Below are 21,294 nucleotides of genomic sequence, written 5' to 3' on the forward strand. Positions count from 1 at the left end.
CATGCACATGTGAGTGTGGCACCTTGTTCTGTACGTAATCACAATGCATTGTGACACTTCATTTTCCTAGCTGCCTTTATTTTACATCACTGTGCAAAGTAGATAAAGCTGATTATCTTATAGCTAAAGAAATAGGCTCAGAGAAGTATGTCCTGGGTTATAAAGTCAGTCTCAAGAATGCAATTGGTTGTTCCTCATGTTAATCCAATCTTTCATTTTCTAATGAGAATGCAAAAGTTGAAGTGAATTCAACTGAATTGGGAAATGGAAGAAATTAGTTGGCTAAGATGAGACCAAATTATTGAGAGTAGGTATTGAAAACCAGGGAATTGTGAAGTTAGGTCTTACTGTGGTGGGAAATAGGGTGACTTCAAGGGGAATATCTTGATGAAAGTGACCTCAAAGGAATAAATGGGAACATGGTGGGAAATTGGATTGGGAGGAAGGTAGAGGGAAGAAAAGAGTGTGAATATATTTCTAAGCTGTAAGTCTGAAGTCGGGAAGAATGGCGGGCTAACAGTTGTGGAGGTACTGACTTTGGCTGTCACAGTGGTGATATTCTACAGACCACTGAAAATAGGCGCCTGGAGGGTAGTATTATAGAAGTCATTGCTATAAATGTAAATTTGAGCTTACAGATGTGATGAATATTGAGAGAACACTGTCCCAGGCACAGTCTTGATGACAACCACAGTGCTGGATGATAGACCTATGAAAAGGAGCCAGAAAGATGAGGAGGAAGTTATGAAGCTAACACTTACCTACCATGGATTTTCACATTGCTATCTTCATCTAACACTAACCCTGTGAGATCATTCCCTCCATTTTTTTCAGAAGAGGAAGAAGTTTGGATTCAATACCTTGCCCACAGTAAGTGGCTGAGGTGGAATGTGAATACAGGTCTGTCTGAACTCCAAAGCCTTGGTGCTTTCTGCTCTGCTGTTACCACCATGCCCGATTAATTTTTGTATTTTTTGTAGAGATGGGGTTTCGCCATGTTGCCCATGCCAATCTTGGACTCCTGAGCTCAAGCGATCCACCCATCTCAGCCTCCCAAAGTGCTGGGATTACAGGCATGAGCCACCACACAGCCAAATGTTTTATTTATTTAAGTAAAAACATGGAAGTGTTGATGAATGTGTGTGTCGTCCTTCTGCAGGGGCCATGCTAATATTCTCCCTATCGTTCCAATTTTAGTATATATGCTGCCTAAGTAAGCACTCCAAAAGTATTGATAGGTAGGAGATGGAGGCTCCTGGTATTTGTTCCTTATTTGTAGATTCAGATCAGGCACAGAACATTAGAGATTAAAAGAATGTTATCGATAATTGGTTCAATTTGCTCATTTTACCAATGAAAAACTGAGGCTCAGAGAGGGAAAGTCATTTACCCAATGTTGTTCAAAGGAACCAGACTAAAACTTAGTTTTTTTCATTTCTGGTTCACTGCTTTTTCTACTATGTGAGAGTACAGTAGCTAAAAGGGTGACAACCTCATGCAGGTTAAAAAAACAAACAACAAACAAAAAAAAACAAATCCACAATTTTTTTTTTTTTTTTGAGATGGAGTCAGAAATACAATCCAGGGTAGTGGGGCTGGTGCTATAGCTTCAGAACCAAGAGTGGGAATGTGTTCCCTTCCAGCTATGGTCCAGATGCCAACCTGCTCTCATCCAAACTTCTCGAAAAAGCTTGTCTACATTCATGTTCACTTCTCAACCAACTGCAGTCTGGCTTCATGCCCATGTCATGAACATTCTCAGAGAGTGACTACTCTCACTAAAATTGCTAAGTCCTTACCTTACTCTACTGCACTGATGCTGTTGTAAACTCCTATTCCTCCTGGAAACATTTTTCTTTCTTGTCTTCCATGACAGCTAACTCCCTTGATTGTCAAAATAGTCTATTTCTTCTTAAAGAACTCCTCTTCTTCCACCTGCCCCTTGAAACTGAGTGTTTTCTCTGCCTTCTGCTCTTTTCAATCTAGAAATTCTCCCTAGATATAAAAATTCACTCTCATAATTTCACCTACCATTCAAACTATTCAAACTGTTATTTTTTTTTATTTCTCCCCAGCATGCATTTTCATCTTCTTTCTAGTTGCTTTGGAGAATTCCTCCCTTACTAGATTGACCTAGACTGAGCCACGTTACCACCTTTCCTTGATCACAGTGATTAAGTAATGAATACTTAAGCCAAGATGGGCCATTCAGAGGCCTTTCCAGGTTTTTTTCTGCTAGACCTAAGAAGCCAGACTGTCTTCCTTTTGTATTATGAGTTGTAAAGATGCAAGCCTGGGGTGGTCAGTGGCCAACTTTTTCATCACAATAGTAGAAGAGAATGAGTGTATCACAGGAAGAGAAGCTGGCACTGAGGGAAGCTTCATGAGGTTTGAGCCTGAGTCCAGCTGTGCCTGAAGGCAGTGAGCTCCATCCTCAGATGGATGAGCCAATAAGTCAGCTTGAGGAGTTCTGATGACTCCAGAATCTCCAGTTTATGACTCTGACGTGTGATTTCTAGAATGATACAGAAATAATTGCTGGACCATCACTTGAATGTCTCATTGCTTTTTAAACTCGTCATGTCTCAACTAGACTGGGCAGGTCCCCCAAACCCTGCTCCTCCTATGTTCCTTATTTTGGAGAACCACTGCTATACCTAGTTACCCAAGTCAGTAATCTGATAATTGCCCTTAATGCCCCCTTCACTTTCTTATATCCATTCAGTCACCAGTCCTGCTAATTTTACCCAACAAACATTTCTCAACTCCATATCTTACTCCGTATCCCCACTGTCACGGTTTGGTTCAGGTTCTCATCTCTTTTTTGGCCTATAGAAACAACTACGTAGGTAATCTGCTTCCATGTTGCCCTGCTCAAATCCATTTCTCATACTGTTGTCAGAGTGACATACTTCAAGTGTATATTTGACCCTCTCTTCAGTTTAAATTGCCCTACTGCCTTTGTGTCCGGAGTTGGTTCCTTCCGGTGGGTTCGTGGTCTTGCTGACTTCAAGAATGAAGCTGTGGACCTTCTCACTGAGTGTTACAGCTCTTAAAGGTGGCATGGACCCAAACAGTGAGCAGCAGCAAGATTTACTGTGAAGAGCAAAAGAACAAAGCTTCCACATCATGGAAGGGGACCTGAGCAGGTTGCCACTGCTGGCTGGGGTGGCCAGCTTTTATTCCCTTGTACCCGCCCATGTCTTGCTGATTGGTCCATTTTACAGAGTGCTGATTGGTCCATTTTGCAAACCTCTAGCTAGCTACAGAGTGCTGATTGGTGCGTTTTTACAGAGCACTGATTGGTGCATTTTACAAACCTCTTGTAAGACAGAAAAGTTCTCCAAGTCCCCAGTCGACCCAGGAAGTCCAGCTGGCTTCACCTCTCACCTTCACATCTTCTTTGGGACAAAACTGAAGCTTCTTATGCCATTGATTGCAAGGCCTTCTGTCATTTGGCCCTAGCTTTCCTCTCTCCCAGCCTTGAATTCTGTACTCCTGCAACAATGAACTACTTGTTCCCAAGTGCTTGCTGTGCTACTTCTCACCTCCCTGCTGTCTCTCTGAAATGCCCTCCACACCCCACTTTTCCATTAAAAATTTTCCGGGCCTCACCTCATCCAGGAGACCAATTGTCCTCCTCGCTTTTCACCTCCTCTGCTATTTCACCTGGCTTAGGTTATTCTCTTCTGTGCCATCATAATACCATTCATTCATTTATTTAACAAATATTTACTGAGTGCCTATTAATAGTGAACAAGACAGAGTCCCCGCTTTCACGGAGTTGACATTTTCTTGCATTCTCTTGTGGTTAAGTTCACATCTGTTATTGTACTTAACTACACTATGTTAAATTATACTCACCTGTTTACTTGTCCATATCTCATACTAGATCATGAGATATAACAGGACAGGAATCATGTCTAATTCACCTCTTTGTCCTCAAAATCTAGCCCAAAACTTGGTACATAGTAGGCACAGTATTTGTTCAGTTAATTAGACTCAGAAGTGTCATTCTAGAAGACTAGCATAGTATTCTGTTTTGTTTTGCTATGACGGAATACCTGAGACTGGGTAATTTATAAAGAAAAGAGGTTTATTTAGCTCACCATTCTGCAGGCTGTACAAGCATGACACCAGGATCTGCTCTGCTTCTGGTGAGGCCTCAGGAAGCTTTTACTCATAGAGGAAGGTGTGTCACAAGGTGAGAGACAGAGCAAAAGAAAAGGAGAGAGGAACCAGGATCTTTTTTTTTTCTGTTTTTTTTGAGACGGAGTCTCATTCTGCCACCTAGGCTGGAGTGCAGTGGCACCATCTCAGCTCACTGCAACCTCTACCTCCTGGGTTCAAGTGATTCTGCCACCTCAGCCTTCCCAGTAGCTGGGACTACAGGCATGCGCCAACATGCCTGGCTAATTTTTGTATTTTTAGTAGAGACAGGTTTCACCATGTTGGCCAGGCTGGTCTTGAACTTCTGACTTCAGGTGATCCACTCTCACCCTCTCCTCAGCCTCCTAAAGTGCTGGGATTACAGGCATGAGCCACCATGCCCAGCCTTCTTCTTCTTCTTTTTTTTTTTGAGACAGAGTCTCACTTGCTGTGTCACCCAGGCTAAGTGCAGTGGTGCAATCATGGTTCACAGCAGCCTTAACTTCCCAGGCTCAAGCAATCCTCCCATCTCAGCCTCCAAGTAGCTGGGACTGCAGGCATATGCCACCATATGCCACCATGGCTAATTTAAAAAAAAACTGTAGAGATGGGGGGGGTCCCACTATGTTGCCCAGGCTGGTCTCGAACTCCTGGACATAAGTGATCCTCCTGCCTCCAGCTCCCAAAGAGTTGGGATTACAGGCATGGGCTATTGTGCCTGGTTGCCAGGCTTTTTTTTTTTTTTTTAACAACCAGGTCTCATGTGAACTAATAGAACGAGAACTCACTCATTATCGAGAGGAAGACACCAAGCCATTCATAAGGATCTGTCCCCATGACCCAAAAACCTCCCACCAGGCCCCACCTCCAAAGTTCGGGGTCACATTTCAACATGAGATTTGGAGGGGACAAACATCCAAATTATATCAACTAGGTAGAAGGGATATTGGAGGTTTGATCTCTGGGGAACAGGGGAAGATAGACAGGTAAAGAGATACATTTAACTACAATGTGGAAAACACTTTAAAGAGGTATGGCCAAAGGCTGTGAGAGCCCAAGGATGGAGCATTTTTATCTAATGTGTTGAGGTGAAGATGGTAGGCCATGAAGCCATTCACTCTGTATGTTGGCACTCTTCTCTGGGAAAGGGGAAGCCTGCTTCTCTGCTGACAAGGGAGAAACCATGCTCTAGATATTTAGTGTATGCTTTCACTGAGTCCTTCATATTAGCCCTGCAAGATATATATTATTAGCACCATTTTACAAACAAGGAAGCAGAGACTCAGAGGTGAAATGACTCACCCAAGGCCGCACAGCTAGTAAGTGGCAGGGCTGGGACTTGAACTCAATCTGATTCTAGAGAATGCATTCAATTAGAATCAGCTGAATATAGGCTGCATGTAACAGAAGAATCCAAAACAAGCGTGGCTTAAATAAAATAGAGGCTTATTTCTCTCTCATATAAAATAGTCTAAAGGTGGGAGGTCCAGAGCTGGTATGGTGGTTTTCTGGTCATTTGGGACCTAAGAAGATCCAAATTCCTGGTCCCACCATCTTCATTATTAGTTTCCTTTCTGATGGTCCAAGATGGCTGTGAGAGGCCAATTCATTATACCTACCTGCCAGGCAGCAGTTAGAAGTAGGGGAAGACAAAAGGGCAGTTTTTTTCCGGCCAAGTTAGCTCCCCTTAAGCTATTTCTTAGAAGTTAAACACAGCACTTCTACTTACATGTCATTGCTAGGGAGCTTAGTCGCATGGACATGTCTAGCTGTGGGGGAGGGAGGAAAGGGGGCTGAGAAATGTACTCTTTTAGCTCCATGCATTGCTATCCCAAATAAACTTGGAGTATTGCTATTAAAGAAGGGAGACTTGATATTGAGTACAGCAAGCACTCTGTTATAATTGTGTGAATAAATTTAAAGATAATTTACATACAGTAAGTACTCATTTTTAAATGTACAGGCTAATGAGTTTTGATAACTGTTAACAGTCATGTAAGATGTTGAATATTTTCACCACCATATCCATGATATTGAATATTTTTGTTTTTAAAAGGTCTTTTGTGTCCCTTTGTAATCAATCTCTTCCAATCCCTGGCCTCAGGTATTTAGTTATCTGCTTTCTGTCACTTTAGATCAGTTCTTCCTGTTTTAGAATTTCATGTGGTCTTTTATGTCTGATTTATTTCACTCTGCATGTTCTTGCGGCCAATCCTTGTTGTGTGTATCAGTAGTCTATTCTTTTTTATTGCCGAGTAGCGTCTCGTTATATGAATCTGTTAATGGATGTTTCATCTGTGTTCTAAAATTCATCCCACATTCTCAGCAAACCCACACTTCCCATGAGCTGCTCCCTGCAGTGACTAAGTTGGATAGGCATACTGACAGGCCCATTCCTGGGATAACGGGGCTACTCTGATGGGTGATTTTGGTTTTAAGGATTCTTCAACAGCCTTGCTGCACTTTTGTTTCAGAACCGCACTGCAATCTGAGATGCTTCCATCCAACTTTTCTTCTTCCCTCTCTTCTTCACTCGGGATCAGACCTACATGATGGTCTGATGGCTCTCCCAATCTCCCTTAGCTTCCCACTCATCTTCTCTCACAAGATTTTCCTTAATACATTTCTTGCATATTAAAGCCACTCTTGACGTCTACTTTTCAGAAGACACAGACTAACACGGATTATTTCCAGTGTTGTTACAGAAATGAGCATGAATCTGCCCACCTGGGGCAGCAAAGCCAAACATTGAGATTTGCACCAAGAGAAAGTGAGGCATTTATTACAGGGAGCCAAGCAAGGGGAATTGGGCAGCTCATGCTTAAGACTCAAACTCCCAGTGGCTTGCATGTAAGGGTTTTTAAAGATGGGGAGGCAGAGGTTACAGGAAAAGTCACAAATCAATACATGGAGATTATACACTGGTTTGGCCTAAAAAGGTGGCACATGTAAAAGTGGGGGGCCCGTAGATCACAGGTGGATTCAAAGGTTTTCTTCTTCATTTTTTTTTTTTTTGAGACAGAGTCTTGCTCTGTCACCCAGGCTGGAGTGCAATGGTGTGATCTTGGCTCACTGCAACCGCCACTTCCCAGGTTCAAGCAATTCTCCTGCCTCAGCCTCCCGAGTAGCTGGGAGTACAGGTGTGTGCCACCACGCCCAGCTAATTTTTGTATTTTTAGTAGAGACGGGGTTTCACCATGTCATTCAGGTTGGTCTCGAACTCCTGGCCTCAGCCTCCTGAAGTGCTGGGATTACAGGCAGGAGCTACTGCGCCCAGCCCAAAGATTTTCTGATTTGTGATTGGTCAAGGTTTTCTTAGCAGAAAAGACAACATTTTCCATTTGTTGGGGGTTCAGGTTTCTGAAAAACAACTCAGGGACATATGTTAAGATGTTATCTTTAGTTTCTATAGGGAACCAAATATTTTGTGGCTCTAACTTCCTTGGCTATTATTACCTTCTTGCTTATCAGGTTGCTTATTTATTTTTCAAGGCTAGCCAGGTGCCTGGAATTTCACTTGAAGGAACACAAGGTTTTACTTTATTTTCATTCTTGGGAAACCCAGCAGGCCCACAAGAGGGGTCCCTGGCTCTGTCTCTGTCTGGCCATTATGAATAATGCAGCTATGAACATTCTTGTTCAAGACTTTTTGTGGGCTGTGCTTTCATTTCTCTTGGGTAGATACCTAGGAAGGGAACTGCTGAGTCACATGGTAAGTGTATATTTAACTTTGTAAAAATTTGCCAAATAGTCTTCCCAAGTAGTTATACCCATTTACACTCCTACTAGCAGTGTTTGAGAGATCCATTGCTCTACATCCTCACCAATACTTGATATTTATAATTTTATAAACTTAGGCTGGGTATGGTGGCTTATGCCTATAGTCCTAGCACTTTGGGAGGCTGAGGCAGGAGGATCACTTGAGACCAGGAGTTCAAGGCCGGCCTGGCAACATAGTGAAGAATAATAGGCTTGTGTATGAATGACTGTTAAGTAAATGGAGATATAAATGAACAAGCATATAATTAAGACTCTCAAAGTAAAAATAAATGCAATTATGTATTCAGATTGTTCTTTGTTTTTTTGTTTTGACAAGGTCTTGCTCTGTCACCCAGGCTGGAGTATAGCAGCGTGATCTTGGCTCACTTCAGCCTTGACCTCCCAGGCTGGAGCCATCCTCCCACCTCAGCTTCCCAAGTAGTTGGGACAACTGTCATGCACCACTATGCCTGGCTATTTTTTAAGCTGGAAACCATCATTCTCAGCAAACTATCGCAAGGACAAAAAAACCAAACACCACATGTTCTCACTCATAGGTGGGAATTGAACAATGAGAACACATGGACACAGGAAGGGGAACATCACACACCGGGGCCTGTTGTGGGGTGGGGGGAGTGGGGAGGGATAGCATTAGGAGATATACCTAATGTAAATGACGAGTTAATGGGTGCAGCACACCAACATGGCACATGTATACATATGTAACAAACCTGCAAGTTGTGCACATGTACCCTAAAACTTAAAGTATAATAAAAAAGAAGAAGAAGAAGAAAACCCTGAATCAAGATATCCCAAGGAATATCCCAATTAGATCTGACCTAAATATATGTCCTAATTCTATGGAAAACTCAACTACTAGCATATTAAAGAAAGATACAAACAAAAAAAATTTTTTTTTGTAGAGACAAAGTCTTACTTATGTTGCTCAGGCTGGTCTTGAACTCCTGGGCTCAAGCAATCCTCTTGCCTCAGCCTCCCAAAGTGCTGGGATTACAGGTGTGAGCCACTGCACCCGGCCAGCTTGTTCTTAATAAACATTTGTCAAATTGGGTAAAAATGCAGCTGCCTTAGAAAACAGTTTGGTAGTTCCTCAAAAACTTAAACATAGAATTACCATGTAACCCAGCAATTCCACTCCTAGGTATGACCAAAAGTATTGAAAACAGGTACTCAAACAAATACTCATATACAAATGTTCACAGCTACTCAAAAGTACTGGTTCACACTACTCAAAAGGGGGAAACAACTCATCAACAGATGAATGGATAAACAAATTGTGCTATATACATGCAAATGGAATGGTACTTAGCCATAAAAAGGAATAGAGTACTGATACATGCTACCATGGGGATGAACCTCAAAACATTATGTGTAGTGAAAGAAGCCAGAAACAAAAGATAATATATTGTAATATTCCATTTATATGAAATATCGAGAATAGGTAATTCTAAAGCTGTCTAAGAAGTGAAGAGCTAGTAATGTTTTATAGGAAATAGGTCCCTAATAGGACCAGAATCTGGAGACCTGCACTGCTCTGCCATGTCCCATTTTTTTGAAGCTTCCATCTGGATCCATGCAGAAATGCTGGAAAAATAAGCAACAAGTGGCCTGCAGATGAGGTGACAGCAAAATAACAACAACAAAATCCATAGTGTTTGATCTGTATTTGTTAATTTAGTATATTTAGGGAAGGTAGTTGGGGATTAAATGGAACTAATATTTATTCAGTGTCAACTATGTGTCAGGTACTGGGCTAAGCATTATACATTTATAATATCTTTAATTTATACAATATTTATAAACCTTTAGTTACATGTAACAGAAGCTCAACTAGCTTAAGAAAAAAAAAAAGTACTCATTTAACTAGGAAGTCCGAAGGGCTGGGTTAGCGTCAGGCACAACTGGATTCATGTGCTCAAACAATGTCATTGAGATTTGTGTGTTGGCCAGGCATAGTGGTTCATGCCTATAATCCCAGTATTTTGGAAGGCCAAGGCAGGAGGACCACTGGAGCCCAGGTGTTCAAGACCAGCCTAGGCAACATGGTGAAACCCCATCTCTACAAAAAGTCAAAAAATTAGCTGGGCGTGGTGGTACATGCCTGTAGTCACAGCTACTTGGGAGGCTGAGGCAGGAGGATCACTTGAGCATGGGAGGTCCAGGCTGCAGTGAGCTGTGATTGCACCACTGCACTCCAGCTTGGGTGACAGAGCAAGACCCTGTCTTGAAAAAAAAAAAAAAAAGACTTGTGTGTCTGTGTGTCTTCTCTCTGTCAGCTTTAGGGGTTCATTCTCAGACTCTCTTCATGGTGTTGCAAATATAGCCGCCAGCTACTCATAATGTACATGGTCCTTAGAACTCAAATTATACTAACTGAAGCACAGGACCTTCTCTCTCACAGCAACAATCCTCTTCAAAGGTCTCTGATGAATCCTGCCTGGGAAATGTGTACTCGCTTGGCTCACTATATCCAAGGGAATTGGAGTAATCAGATTGCTCGTTTTGGGTCGAGTGCCCCTCTCTGTGGTAGTGGAGATGAACTCCTACCGATTGATCACTGGTAGGAATCACATAGCGGAGGAGGGGCAGGTCCCAAAAGGAAGAGATGTGAGGCATAATTTCATTGTCAAGTGGGCATATCATCCCCATTTCACAGAGAAAGAAACTGAGGTAAAATGCCGTTCTCTACATTACAGACCTAGAAGATTAGAGATCTTTGGGTTGGAAGAAGCAGCATGAAAAGTGGACAAAGGTTTGGATTGTGGATCAGACAGACTGGGTTTCACCTGGCCTTGACCATTGACTATATACATATACAATTATAAGAGAGTCAATTCCACTTAGTCTCATATTCCCCATATGTGAAATGGGAATAATGTCCCTAATTCTCAATTCATTGTGAGGATTAAGCGAAATATGTATGTGAAAGCACTTTGTAATAAAGTACTATATAAATTTAGGATGTATTATTTTCTCTAGTATATTTGACAATGGGAACAGATATTTTACTTTATGTGAATTATCAGTTTCATTTTCATACATATTCACATACAGTTAAATTGACTTTTTCTTTTTTTGAGACAGATTCTCACTCTGCCACCCAGGCTGGAGTGCCATCTTGGCTCATTGCAACCTTCGCCTCCTAGGTTCAAGCGATTTTCCTGTCTTACCCTCCCGAGTAGCTGGGATTACAGGTGTGCACCACCATGCCCGGCTATTTTTTATTTTTTTATTTTTAGTAGAGACAGGGTTTCGCCAGGTTGGCCAGGCTGGTTTCAAACTCCTGTCCTCAAGTGATCTGCCTGCTTCGGCCTCCCAGAGTACTGGGATTACAGGCATGAGCCACCATGCCAGGCCTAAAATTGACTTTTGACAGGACGTACAGTTCTATGGGTTTTAACATAGAAATAAATTTGTTTAATCAGGATACGAAACACTTCTATTCACCAAAAAAAATCTCTGTAGTGCTATCCATTTATAGTCTCATCCTCTCCCTACCCACTAAACACCGGCAACTGCTGGTTCTGAACCACTATGGTTTGTCTCTTAGAGAATACTATAGAAAGGGAATTATGTAGTATGTAACCTTTTGAGACTGACTTCTACCACTTAGTATTTAAGATTCATCCATGTTATTGGATGCAGCAAGAGGCCATTGTCCTAAGTGAATTAATGCAGAAACAGAAAAACAAATATGGCATGTTTTCACTTATAAGTGGGAACTAAATATTGCATACACATCGATGTAAAGATGGCAACAAAAGACACTGGGGACTATTAGAGAGGAGAGGTAGGGAGTGGGGTAAGCATTGAAAAAATAACTATTGAGTACTATGTTCACTCTTTGGCTGATGGGTCCAGTTGAAGCCCAAACTTCAGCATCACGCAATATATCTATGTAACAAACCTGCACATGTATCCCAATTCTAAAAATTTTTAAGAACGAGTCATCCATGTTTTTGTGTGAATGTATAGCTCATTCCTTTTTATTGGTGATTACCATCCCATTGTATGGATCTACCATTTTTGTTTATCCACTCACCAGTTAAAGGACATTTGTGTTGTTTCCTTTTCTGTGCTATTACGAATAGAATTGCTATGAATATTCCTGTTGAGTCTTGCGTGAATATATTTTCCCTAGGCTAATTACCAAGGAGTGGGATTGCTGAGTCATGTTGTAAATGTGCAACTTACTTTCTAAGAAATTGCCAAGCTGTTTTCCAAAATGGCCATATAATTTCATGTTCTGACCAGCAATGTGGGAGAATTCTAGTTGCTTTGCATCCTCAGCAGCATTCTGTATTGTCAGTATTTTAAAATTTCAGCTATTCTAATAAGTGTGTAGTGGCATCTCATAGTTACTTTGATTTACATTTCACTAATGGCTAGTGATGTTTAACATCTTTTCATGTGCTCATTTGCCATCCATATATCTTCTTCTGTGAAACATCTTTTCATGTCTAGCCCATTTCCTAATTGGATTGCTTGTACTTTTTCTGTTCAGTTTTGACAGTTCTTTATATGTTCTTCACGAAAGTCAATTGTCTGATGTGTAATTTACAAATATTATCTCCCAGTCTCTAGCTTGTCTTTTTACCCTTTCAACAATATCTCTTGCAGGGTAAAGATTTTTAGTTTTGATGAAGTCCAAATCATCATTTTTTATCAATCATGCTTTTTGTGTAATGTCTAAGAACTATTTGCATAACCACAGGTCATGAATATTTTATTTTTTCTGGTAAAAGTTGTATAGTTTTGTGTTTTATATTTAGATCAGTGGTTGTTAACCAGGTGCAATTTTGCCTGGGTCAGGAAGGATTTAGATGTATGGTACACTTTGAATTAATTTTGTGTAAGGTGTCAGTTTTAGGTCAAGTTTCATTCTTTTGTATGTGAAGGTCCAGTTGTTCCAATATATTTGTTGAAAGGACTGCCCTTTCTCTGTAGAATTTGTCTTTATAACTTTATCAAAAATTAATTGGCCATATATGTTGTTATGTTATCTACTTCTAGACTCAAATTGGTTCCATTGATTTCTATGTCTATACTTTTGCTAATACAACCTAATCTTCTTGATTGTAACCCTGAAATTGGGAAGCATGACCATGACCAGGTGTGATTTATCCCAAGAGTGCAAAGTTGGTTCAACATCCAAAAATCAATATAATACACCATTTTAATAGAATAAAAGTCAAAAAGCACATGATCGTCTAAATAGATACAGAAGGAGGATTTAAAAGTATGCAACATTCCTTCACCCAACAAATGGAAGGAATGTCCTCAACCGATAAAGGGCATCTACAAAAAATCAACAACCAACATCTTACTAAATGACAAAAGATAGAATGCTTTCCCCCTGTGATCAGGAACCAGACAAGGACGTCTGCCATTGCCATTTGTATTCAATGTTGTGCTGGAGGTCCTATCCAGGACAATTGGGCAAGAAAAAGAAAAAAAAAGGGATCCAAATTGGAAAGGAAGTAAACAATAAACTATCAACAAAAATCTATTGTATTAATAAAAATCTGTCCCTGCTAAGAAACGAGTTCAGATTGATGGTGGTGTTTAGTTCCTTTATATCTTTGATGATTTTCCACTGACTAGTGTTATCTTTTACTGAGAAGAGTGTTGATGGCACCAACTATAATTATAGTGCCTTCTATTTTTCACTTCAGATCTGTGCATTTTTGTTTCATGTATTTTGAAACCATGATTTTAGGTGCATATACATTTAAGATTGTTATGACTTCTTGGTGAGTGGACCCTTTTTTCATTACGAAATGTCTCTCTTTTTTCTTTGTAATGTTCTTTGCTCTGAAGTGTACCTTGTCTAATATTAATATAACTACTCCAGCTTTATTTCGATTAGTATTATATGGTATATCTATTTACTTTTAAAATTCCTATATCATTATATTCAAACTGAGTTTCTTTTAGCAAGCATTTAGTTGGGTCACATTATTATTTTTATCTATTCTGATGCTCTCCATCTTTTAATTGGTGTGTTTAGTATATTTACATCTGATGTAATTATTGACTTCTTTGGGTATAGGACTAGTATTTATTTCTTTTCTTCCTCTATTTTTCATGACTATGTTTTTCCTTTCTGCCTTCTTTTGAACATTTTTAGCATTCCATATTAATTTTACCATATCTATTTGCATTTTTAGCAATTGCTTGAGTGATTACAATATACAAACCTAACTTTTAACAGTGTATTTTTCAATAATATTTTACCACTTTAAGTGAAATCTAGAAACTTCATAATCTCATAGATTCCTTTCCCTTCTCTCATTTATGTTGTAGTTGCCTTATTAATTACAGGTACATAAACTGAAAACTCCATCATCAGGCTGGGCATAGTGGCTCATGCCTGTAATCACAGTGCTTTGGGAGGCCAAGGTGGGAGGATCACTTGAGCCTGGGGAGGTCGAGGCTACCATAAGCTGTGATCATACCACTGCACTCCAGCCTGGGCAACGGTGTGAGACCCTGTCTCAAAACAAACAAGCAAACAAACCTCCACCATCAGATAATGGTATAATTTTCTTTTCAAGTATGGAACATATTTTAAAGAACTCAATACAAGAATGATCTATTATTTTTACCCAGCTATTTGCCACTTCTGTTGCTCTACCTTCATTTTTGGTGGTCCAAGTTTCTTTCTAGTATAATTTCACTTCTCTGTGAAAATTTTCCGTAGTAATTATTTTACAACGTATCTGCTGGCAGTGAATTCTTAGGGATTTTTTAATCCAACAATGTTTTTATTGCAATTTTACTCCTGAAGAATATTTCAATCAGATATAGAATTCTAGGACAATAGATATTTACTGTTGTTCCACTTCCTTCTTGCCTTCCTAGTTTCTGATAAGAAATTCAGTCATTCTACCATTCTCAGCAAACTATCACAAGGACAAAAAACCAAACACCGCATGTTCTCACTCATAGGTGGGAATTGAACAATGAGAACACATGGACACAGGAAGGGGAACATCACACACAGGGGCCTGTTGTGGGGTGGGGGGAGGGGGGAAGGATAGCATTAGGAGATATACCTAATGTTAAATGACGAGTTAATGGGTGCAGCACACCAACATGGCACATGCATACATATGTAACAAACCTGCACGTTGTCCACATGTAACCTAAAACTTAAAGTATAATAAAAAAAAAAAAGAAATTCAGTCATTCTAATCATTATACCCCTCTAAGTAATGCATTGATTTTGTCTGGTTACTTTTAAGATTTTTTTCTTTGTTTTAGTGTTCACCAGTTTGATTATTATGTGTCTGGGTATGTATTTCTTTTTTAAAATTTTTATTTCTTAACTTTTTTTTTGAGACAGGGTCTCACTCTGTTGCCCAGGCTGGAGTGCAGTGGTTTGAACATGGCTCACTGCAACCTCCACCTCCTGGGCTCAAGTGATCCTCTCACCTCAGCTTACCAAGTAGCTGGGATTACAGGCATGTGCCACCATGCCTGGCTAATTTTTGTAGTTTTTGTAGAGATGGGGTTTCACCATGTTACCCAGGCTTGTCTCGAACTCCTGGGCTTAAGAGATCTTCCCACCTCATCCTCCCAAAGTGGTGGGATTACAGGTGTGAGCCACTGTGCCCAGCCTGGGCATAGATTTCTTTGTGGTTATTCTGCTTGGGGGTTGATGAACCTCTTGAACTTATAGCTTTATGTCTTTCATCAAATTTGAGAAGTTTTCAGCTATTATTTTTCAAAATTATTTTCTGCATTTCCCTTTTTCTTTTTTCCTCCTCAGATTCTGAGGAATGTTAGGCCATTTGGTATTATCCTGCAGTTCCTCAAGGCTCTGTTAATTTTTTTACAATGTTTTCTCTGTGTGGTTTAGATTGTATCAGTATTGCTTGTTTTGCCTTCTGCCTCAGGTTCCAATATGGCTCAGCACAGCACTGTTGCTAATCCTGTCTTTATTTAAATTTTGATACGTTACTAATCATGAAGTTTTTGTTTTAATTTTGATTTTTAAAAATTATGAAATTAAAATATTTGTCTTGATTACTGAGTGTTTTGGTACTCCTCCACCCCCACTTAAGTTTTGTGCCTGAGGTGATTGCCTCACCTGTATCTCCCTAGCTTTGGTCCTGTCAGATAATTTGTATTGATCTATATGATCTTCAAGCTCACTGATTCTTTCCTCTGTTATCTCCATCCTGCTATTGAGCTCATTCAGTAACTTCTAAATTTTGATTATTTTATTTTTCAGTTTTAATAATTTCCACTTGGATTTTCTTGATAGCTTCTATTTCCTTGCTGAAATTTTGATCTTTCAGTTTGTTTCTAGGTATTAGCACTTACTTATTAAAATGGAATTTTATATGAGCTGCTTTAAATTCTTTGTCAGATGTTTCCAATATCTGTATCTTCTCAGTGTTGACATCTGTTGATTCTTTTCCCTTGTAAGTTGAGATTTTCCTGGTTCTTCATATAACAAATAATTTTGAAATATATTCTGAATATTGTCAATATTATCTCATGAGACCCTGGGTCCTGTTTAAACCCTAAGGAGAATGTTGATAGTTTTGGTTTGAGCCAGCTATTGACTAGTTAAGTTCTGACCCACCTTCTATGGGTTGCAGTTTCAGTGTCCATTCAGTTTGCAAAGCCTTTGCAATGCTATTCAGATCTGCCCAACTGTGTAGTGGTGTTCTATTCTTTCCTTCCTTCTCAAAATCTGTATATGTGATTTTGGATCAGATCCATGCATATGCAGCTTGAAGTGTAAACCCAGCAGTTCATAAGTAGCTTTAAAGATCACTTTTCTGAATTCCCCCCTCTTCATAATCTTCCTGATACTTTCTGCTTTTCTGGAGCTCTCCTTTTTGATCCTCCAGCCAGAAAGCTGAGACTTTAGGAACTCTACATTGTCATGTACTTCCTGCAACTGTGCCCATATTTGGGCCAAGTGGCAGAGGACAGAGAGAGGAAAAAATGCAAAGAGGGTTCATCTCACCTGATTGGGACCACCACAGCTCTGATGGAGAGGAATATCTCCCTCTCGGTGTTTTGCATTCTATGGGCTACAGTTGCCACCACTGCCACTAGGGATTGGGGCACAAGGAAATGAAGAAAAGGAAACAAAGGACAAAAAAGAAAAATGGAGGATTTTTGCACTGTCTCTGAACATTAAGAGACCCCTTTTCAGCTCCTTGCACCAGAACTACAGGGCTTCTCCTGAAATTCTGTCTCCACTAATGCCCACTTCTGGGTTTTTGGCCATATTGAATTCAGACTGGGGGATACTGAATGGAAGAAAATAGTAAACTCACTGCCAGTGGTTGTCCTACTCGAACTCCAGTCTTCTTTCCTAACCCTCCTGCTACTGTTTACTTTTCAGAATCCTCCATTTGGCCAGGTTTTACAGCTGTGTTCAGTGGGAGAGACAGTGTAAAATGAGCTTACCCAGAATAGGAATTCCTAATTATTATTGTTATTATTATTATTATTATTTTTAAAAGGATTGCTACTTAAAATGATTAATATTATTTCAGAAATAAACACAATGATGGTTATCCCAGTGTCATGAGCACAGACTAAAAATTCTTAAATTACTGGCAGTACTATCTGGACAACTCCTGAAGACCCCAACTTACTTAGACTCATGCTTACTTTGCCTTGGGAATCTTTGTGACTGTTCTACTCGAAGATGATGTTAGAAGTGAAGAGAGTGGATGAGTGACAAATGCAAGGTTTTCATAGGCCTGAGCACTCGAAGAAAGCCTTATGGTGTACTTGGAAATAGCTTTGTGGCTTTTTTTCCTCTTCTTAAGCCAAGATATCCTCAATTCAAATGAAATATGTATTGTATAGAAGCTCACTATGTCAACTAGATAAAAGAGGCGGAGCAGCTCTGTATAAGGCGAAGTCTAGCACCTTCCAATGCCTCATTAAGCCCTTGGACTATATGGAGCTCATTAAAAATCCCTGGCATGGAGCCAGGTTTTGGAAACATACGTGACTATTTGTGCCATTTTGAGTAAGTCACTTCACCTCTCTGCGCTTCCTCATCTGTAAAATGTATCTAATTATACTTATCCCACATATCTACTGTGAAGATCAAATGTGCTTTCATGAGTTAAACATCTGGAAAATAACAGGTGCTTACTAAATGATAGTCTTTGCTCTTTTAAAGCCATACATTCTCAAGATACATTGATAACACTACTGCTAGTCAGGCTGATTATAGATATGTCTTTACTCAAACTTCTCTTGGATCTTCAAGACAGAAACTTTCATCTTGTGTTGTTTAAAGCATTCTAGTCTTAGACAAACCTGAGTTTGAATCCAGACTTTTCTGCCAGTAGCTCTGTGACCATGTAGTTCCTTCTTCCTTGTTCTGAGCCACAGATTTCATACTGTAAAGTGGATATGATAAAAGTGTTTACTTCAAAGGATTTTGTGAGTTTTAACTAAGCTAATGCACTTAACATGGTGACTGACATATGCTAAAAATTGGCATAAAGATGTGGTATTTTCTGGGTGAGATGACAGATAATGTTATGCAACATGATTCTCAGAAGATACAGGGTTGTCTGACTCCTGTGTACTCGCCTCTCTTCTGGCCATCTCTAGCAATACCTGGGTTGAAAGCTCTGCTAATCCATGAGAACTATTGTGCATATCAGTCAGGCCACTTAATTTCTCTGAGCCTTCCTTTTGTCCTGCTCAGGTTAGAAAACTCTGCTTGCCTGTCCTAGCCATGACGTACTGGGAGAAAAGGAGGTGTGTGTGATGATGTAAAAATATGTCCACAGGCTGGACGTAGTGGCTCATGCCTGTAATCCCAGCACTTTGGAAAGCCAAGGCGGGTGGATCACGAGGTCAGGAGTTCGAGACCAGACTGACCAACATGGTGAAACCCCGTCTCTACTAAAAACGCAAAAATTAGCTGTATGTGGTGGCATGCACCTCTAATCCCAGCTACTCAGGAGGTTGAGGCAGGAGAATCACTTGAATCCGGGAGGCGGAGGATGCAGTGAGCCAAGATCACGCCACTGCATTCCAGCCTGGGTGACAGAGCGAGACTCTGTCTCAAAATAAATAAATAAATAAATAAATAAATAAATAAATAAATAAAATAACTATATCCACAAACTCTTTGACACTCCTCCCTTCCAAAGGCAGGACCTAAATCCTACTCCCATGAGGATTTGCTCCTAATGAATAGCACGAAGCAGTGTGCAATTTCAGAGATTTCAGAGACGAGGTCAGAAAAGGCAGTGTGGCTTCTTCTGAGCTTTCTCTTATGGATCAGCAACTCTGGAGGAAGTTAGTTGCCATGTCATGCGGACGCCTAAAGAGAGCCCTGTGTGGTGAGGAACTGAGGCCTCCAGCCAACAGCCATGTGACTGAGCCATCCTAGAAGAAGATCCTCTATCATCATTCAAGCCTTCAGATGATAGTAGACTTGCTTATATCTGTGTTTTTTTTTTTTTTTTTTTGAGACAGCGTCTTGCTCTGTCACCCAGGCTGGAGTGCAGTGGTACGATCTCAGGTTACTGCAGACTCCACCTCCCAGGTTCAAGAGATCCTCCCACCTCATCCTCCTGAGTAGCCGGGACCACAGGTGTGCACTACCGCTCTGACTAATTTTTGTATTTTTAGTAGAGATGGAGTTTCACCATGTTGGCCAGGCTCATCTTGAACTCCTGGCCTCAAGTGATCCACCCATCTTGACCTCCCAAAGTGCTGGGATTACAGGTGTGAGCCACCACACTGGGCCTAGACTTGCTTATATCAATGCAACCATATGACAGATCCTGTATTAGTCCATTGTCACACAGCTATAAAGAACTTCCCAAGACTGGGTAATTTATAAAGAAAAGAGGTTTAATTGACTCACAGTTCCTACATGGCTGGGGAGGCCTCAGGAAACTTTCAATCATGGCAGAAGGGGAAGCAGGAACGTCTTACATGGCAGCAGGCAAGAGAGAGCATGTGAAGGAGGAACTGTCAAACCATCAGATCTTGTGAGAACTCACTCACTGTCATGAGAACAGCAAGGCAGAAACCACCCTCACAATCAAATTGCCTTCCACCAGTTCCCTCCCTTGACATGTGAGGATTATGGGGATTACAATTTGAGATGAGATTTGGGTGGGGACACAGAGCCAAACTGTATCATTCTGCCCCGGCCCCTCCCAAATATCACATTCTTTTTACATTTCAAAACCAATCATAGCTTTCCAACAGTTTCCCCAAAGTCTTAACTCATTCCAAAGTTAACCCAAAAGTCCAAGTCCAATGTCTCATCTGAGACAAGGCAAGTTCCTTCTGCCTAGGAGCCTGTAAAATAAAAAGCAAGTTAGTTACTTCCAAGATACAATGGGGTTACAGGCATTGGATAAATGATCCCATTCCAAATAGGAGAAATGAGCCAAAACAAAGGGGCTACAGGCCCTGTGCAAGTCCGAAATCCAGAAGAGCAGTCATTAATCTTTTGTTGTTGTTGTTGTTGGAAGACAGAGTCTTGCTCTGTTGCCCAGTATGGAGTGCAGTGGCATGATCTCAGCTCACTGCAACCTCTGCCTCCCAGGTTCAAATGATTCTCCAGCCTCAGCCTTCCAAGTAGCTGGGATTATAGGTGCACACCACCAAGCCTGGCTAATTATTGTATTTTTTGTAGAGACAGGGTTTCACCATATTGGCCAGGCTGGTCTCGAACTCCTGACCTCAAGTGATCTGCCCGCCTCAGTCTCCCAAAGTTCTGGAATTACAGGCATGAGCCACCATGCCTGGCCAGCAGTCATTAAATCTTAAAGCTCCAAAATTAATCTCATTTGACTCCATGTCACATCCAGGGCACGCTGATGCAAGACGTGGGCTCCCATAGCCTTGGGCAGCTCCTTCATGGGCTGGCGTTGAGTACCTGTGGCTTTTCCAGTGCATCATGCAAGCTGTTGGTGGATCTACCATTCTGGGGTCTGGAGGACGGTGGCCCTCTTCTCACAGCTCCACTAGGCAGTGCCCCAGTGGGGACTGTGTGTGCGGGCTCCAACCCCACATTTCCCTTCTGCATTGAGCTAGCAGAGGTTCCCCAGGCTGCAGACTTCTGTGTGGACATCCAGGCATTTCCACACATCCTCTGAAATCAAGGTGGTTGTTGCCAAACCTCAATTCTTGACTTCTGTGTACCCACAGGCTCAACACCACATGGAAGCCACCAAGAGTTGGGGCTTACACCCTCTGAAGCAATGGCCCAACTTGTACCTTGGCCTCTCTTAGCCATGACTAGAGCTGGAGTGGCTAAGATGCAGGGCACCAAGTCCTGAGGCTCCACACAGCAGTGGGTCTCTGGGCCCGGCCCATAAAACCATTTTTCCCTCCTAGGCT

The 21,294-nt window shown here is 40.9% G+C and overlaps 1 pseudogene, besides 1 other annotated feature; it reads right to left on the reverse strand.

Annotated features, from left to right (window-relative positions):
- RNU6-245P (RNA, U6 small nuclear 245, pseudogene) lies at positions 1,115-1,221 on the reverse strand (annotated as a pseudogene).
- Positions 8,908-9,472: an enhancer, noted in NCBI's record as "OCT4-NANOG hESC enhancer chrX:67767078-67767642 (GRCh37/hg19 assembly coordinates)". NCBI's record gives its function as "activates a minimal SCP1, AML or CMV promoter by ChIP-STARR-seq in primed H9 embryonic stem cells {active_cell/tissue: H9 hESC(primed)}" and the evidence as "EXISTENCE:reporter gene assay evidence [ECO:0000049][PMID:30033119]".

The sequence above is a fragment of the Homo sapiens genome, chromosome X, assembly GCF_000001405.40.
Source record: "Homo sapiens chromosome X, GRCh38.p14 Primary Assembly".
Lineage (NCBI taxonomy): Eukaryota > Metazoa > Chordata > Mammalia > Primates > Hominidae > Homo > Homo sapiens.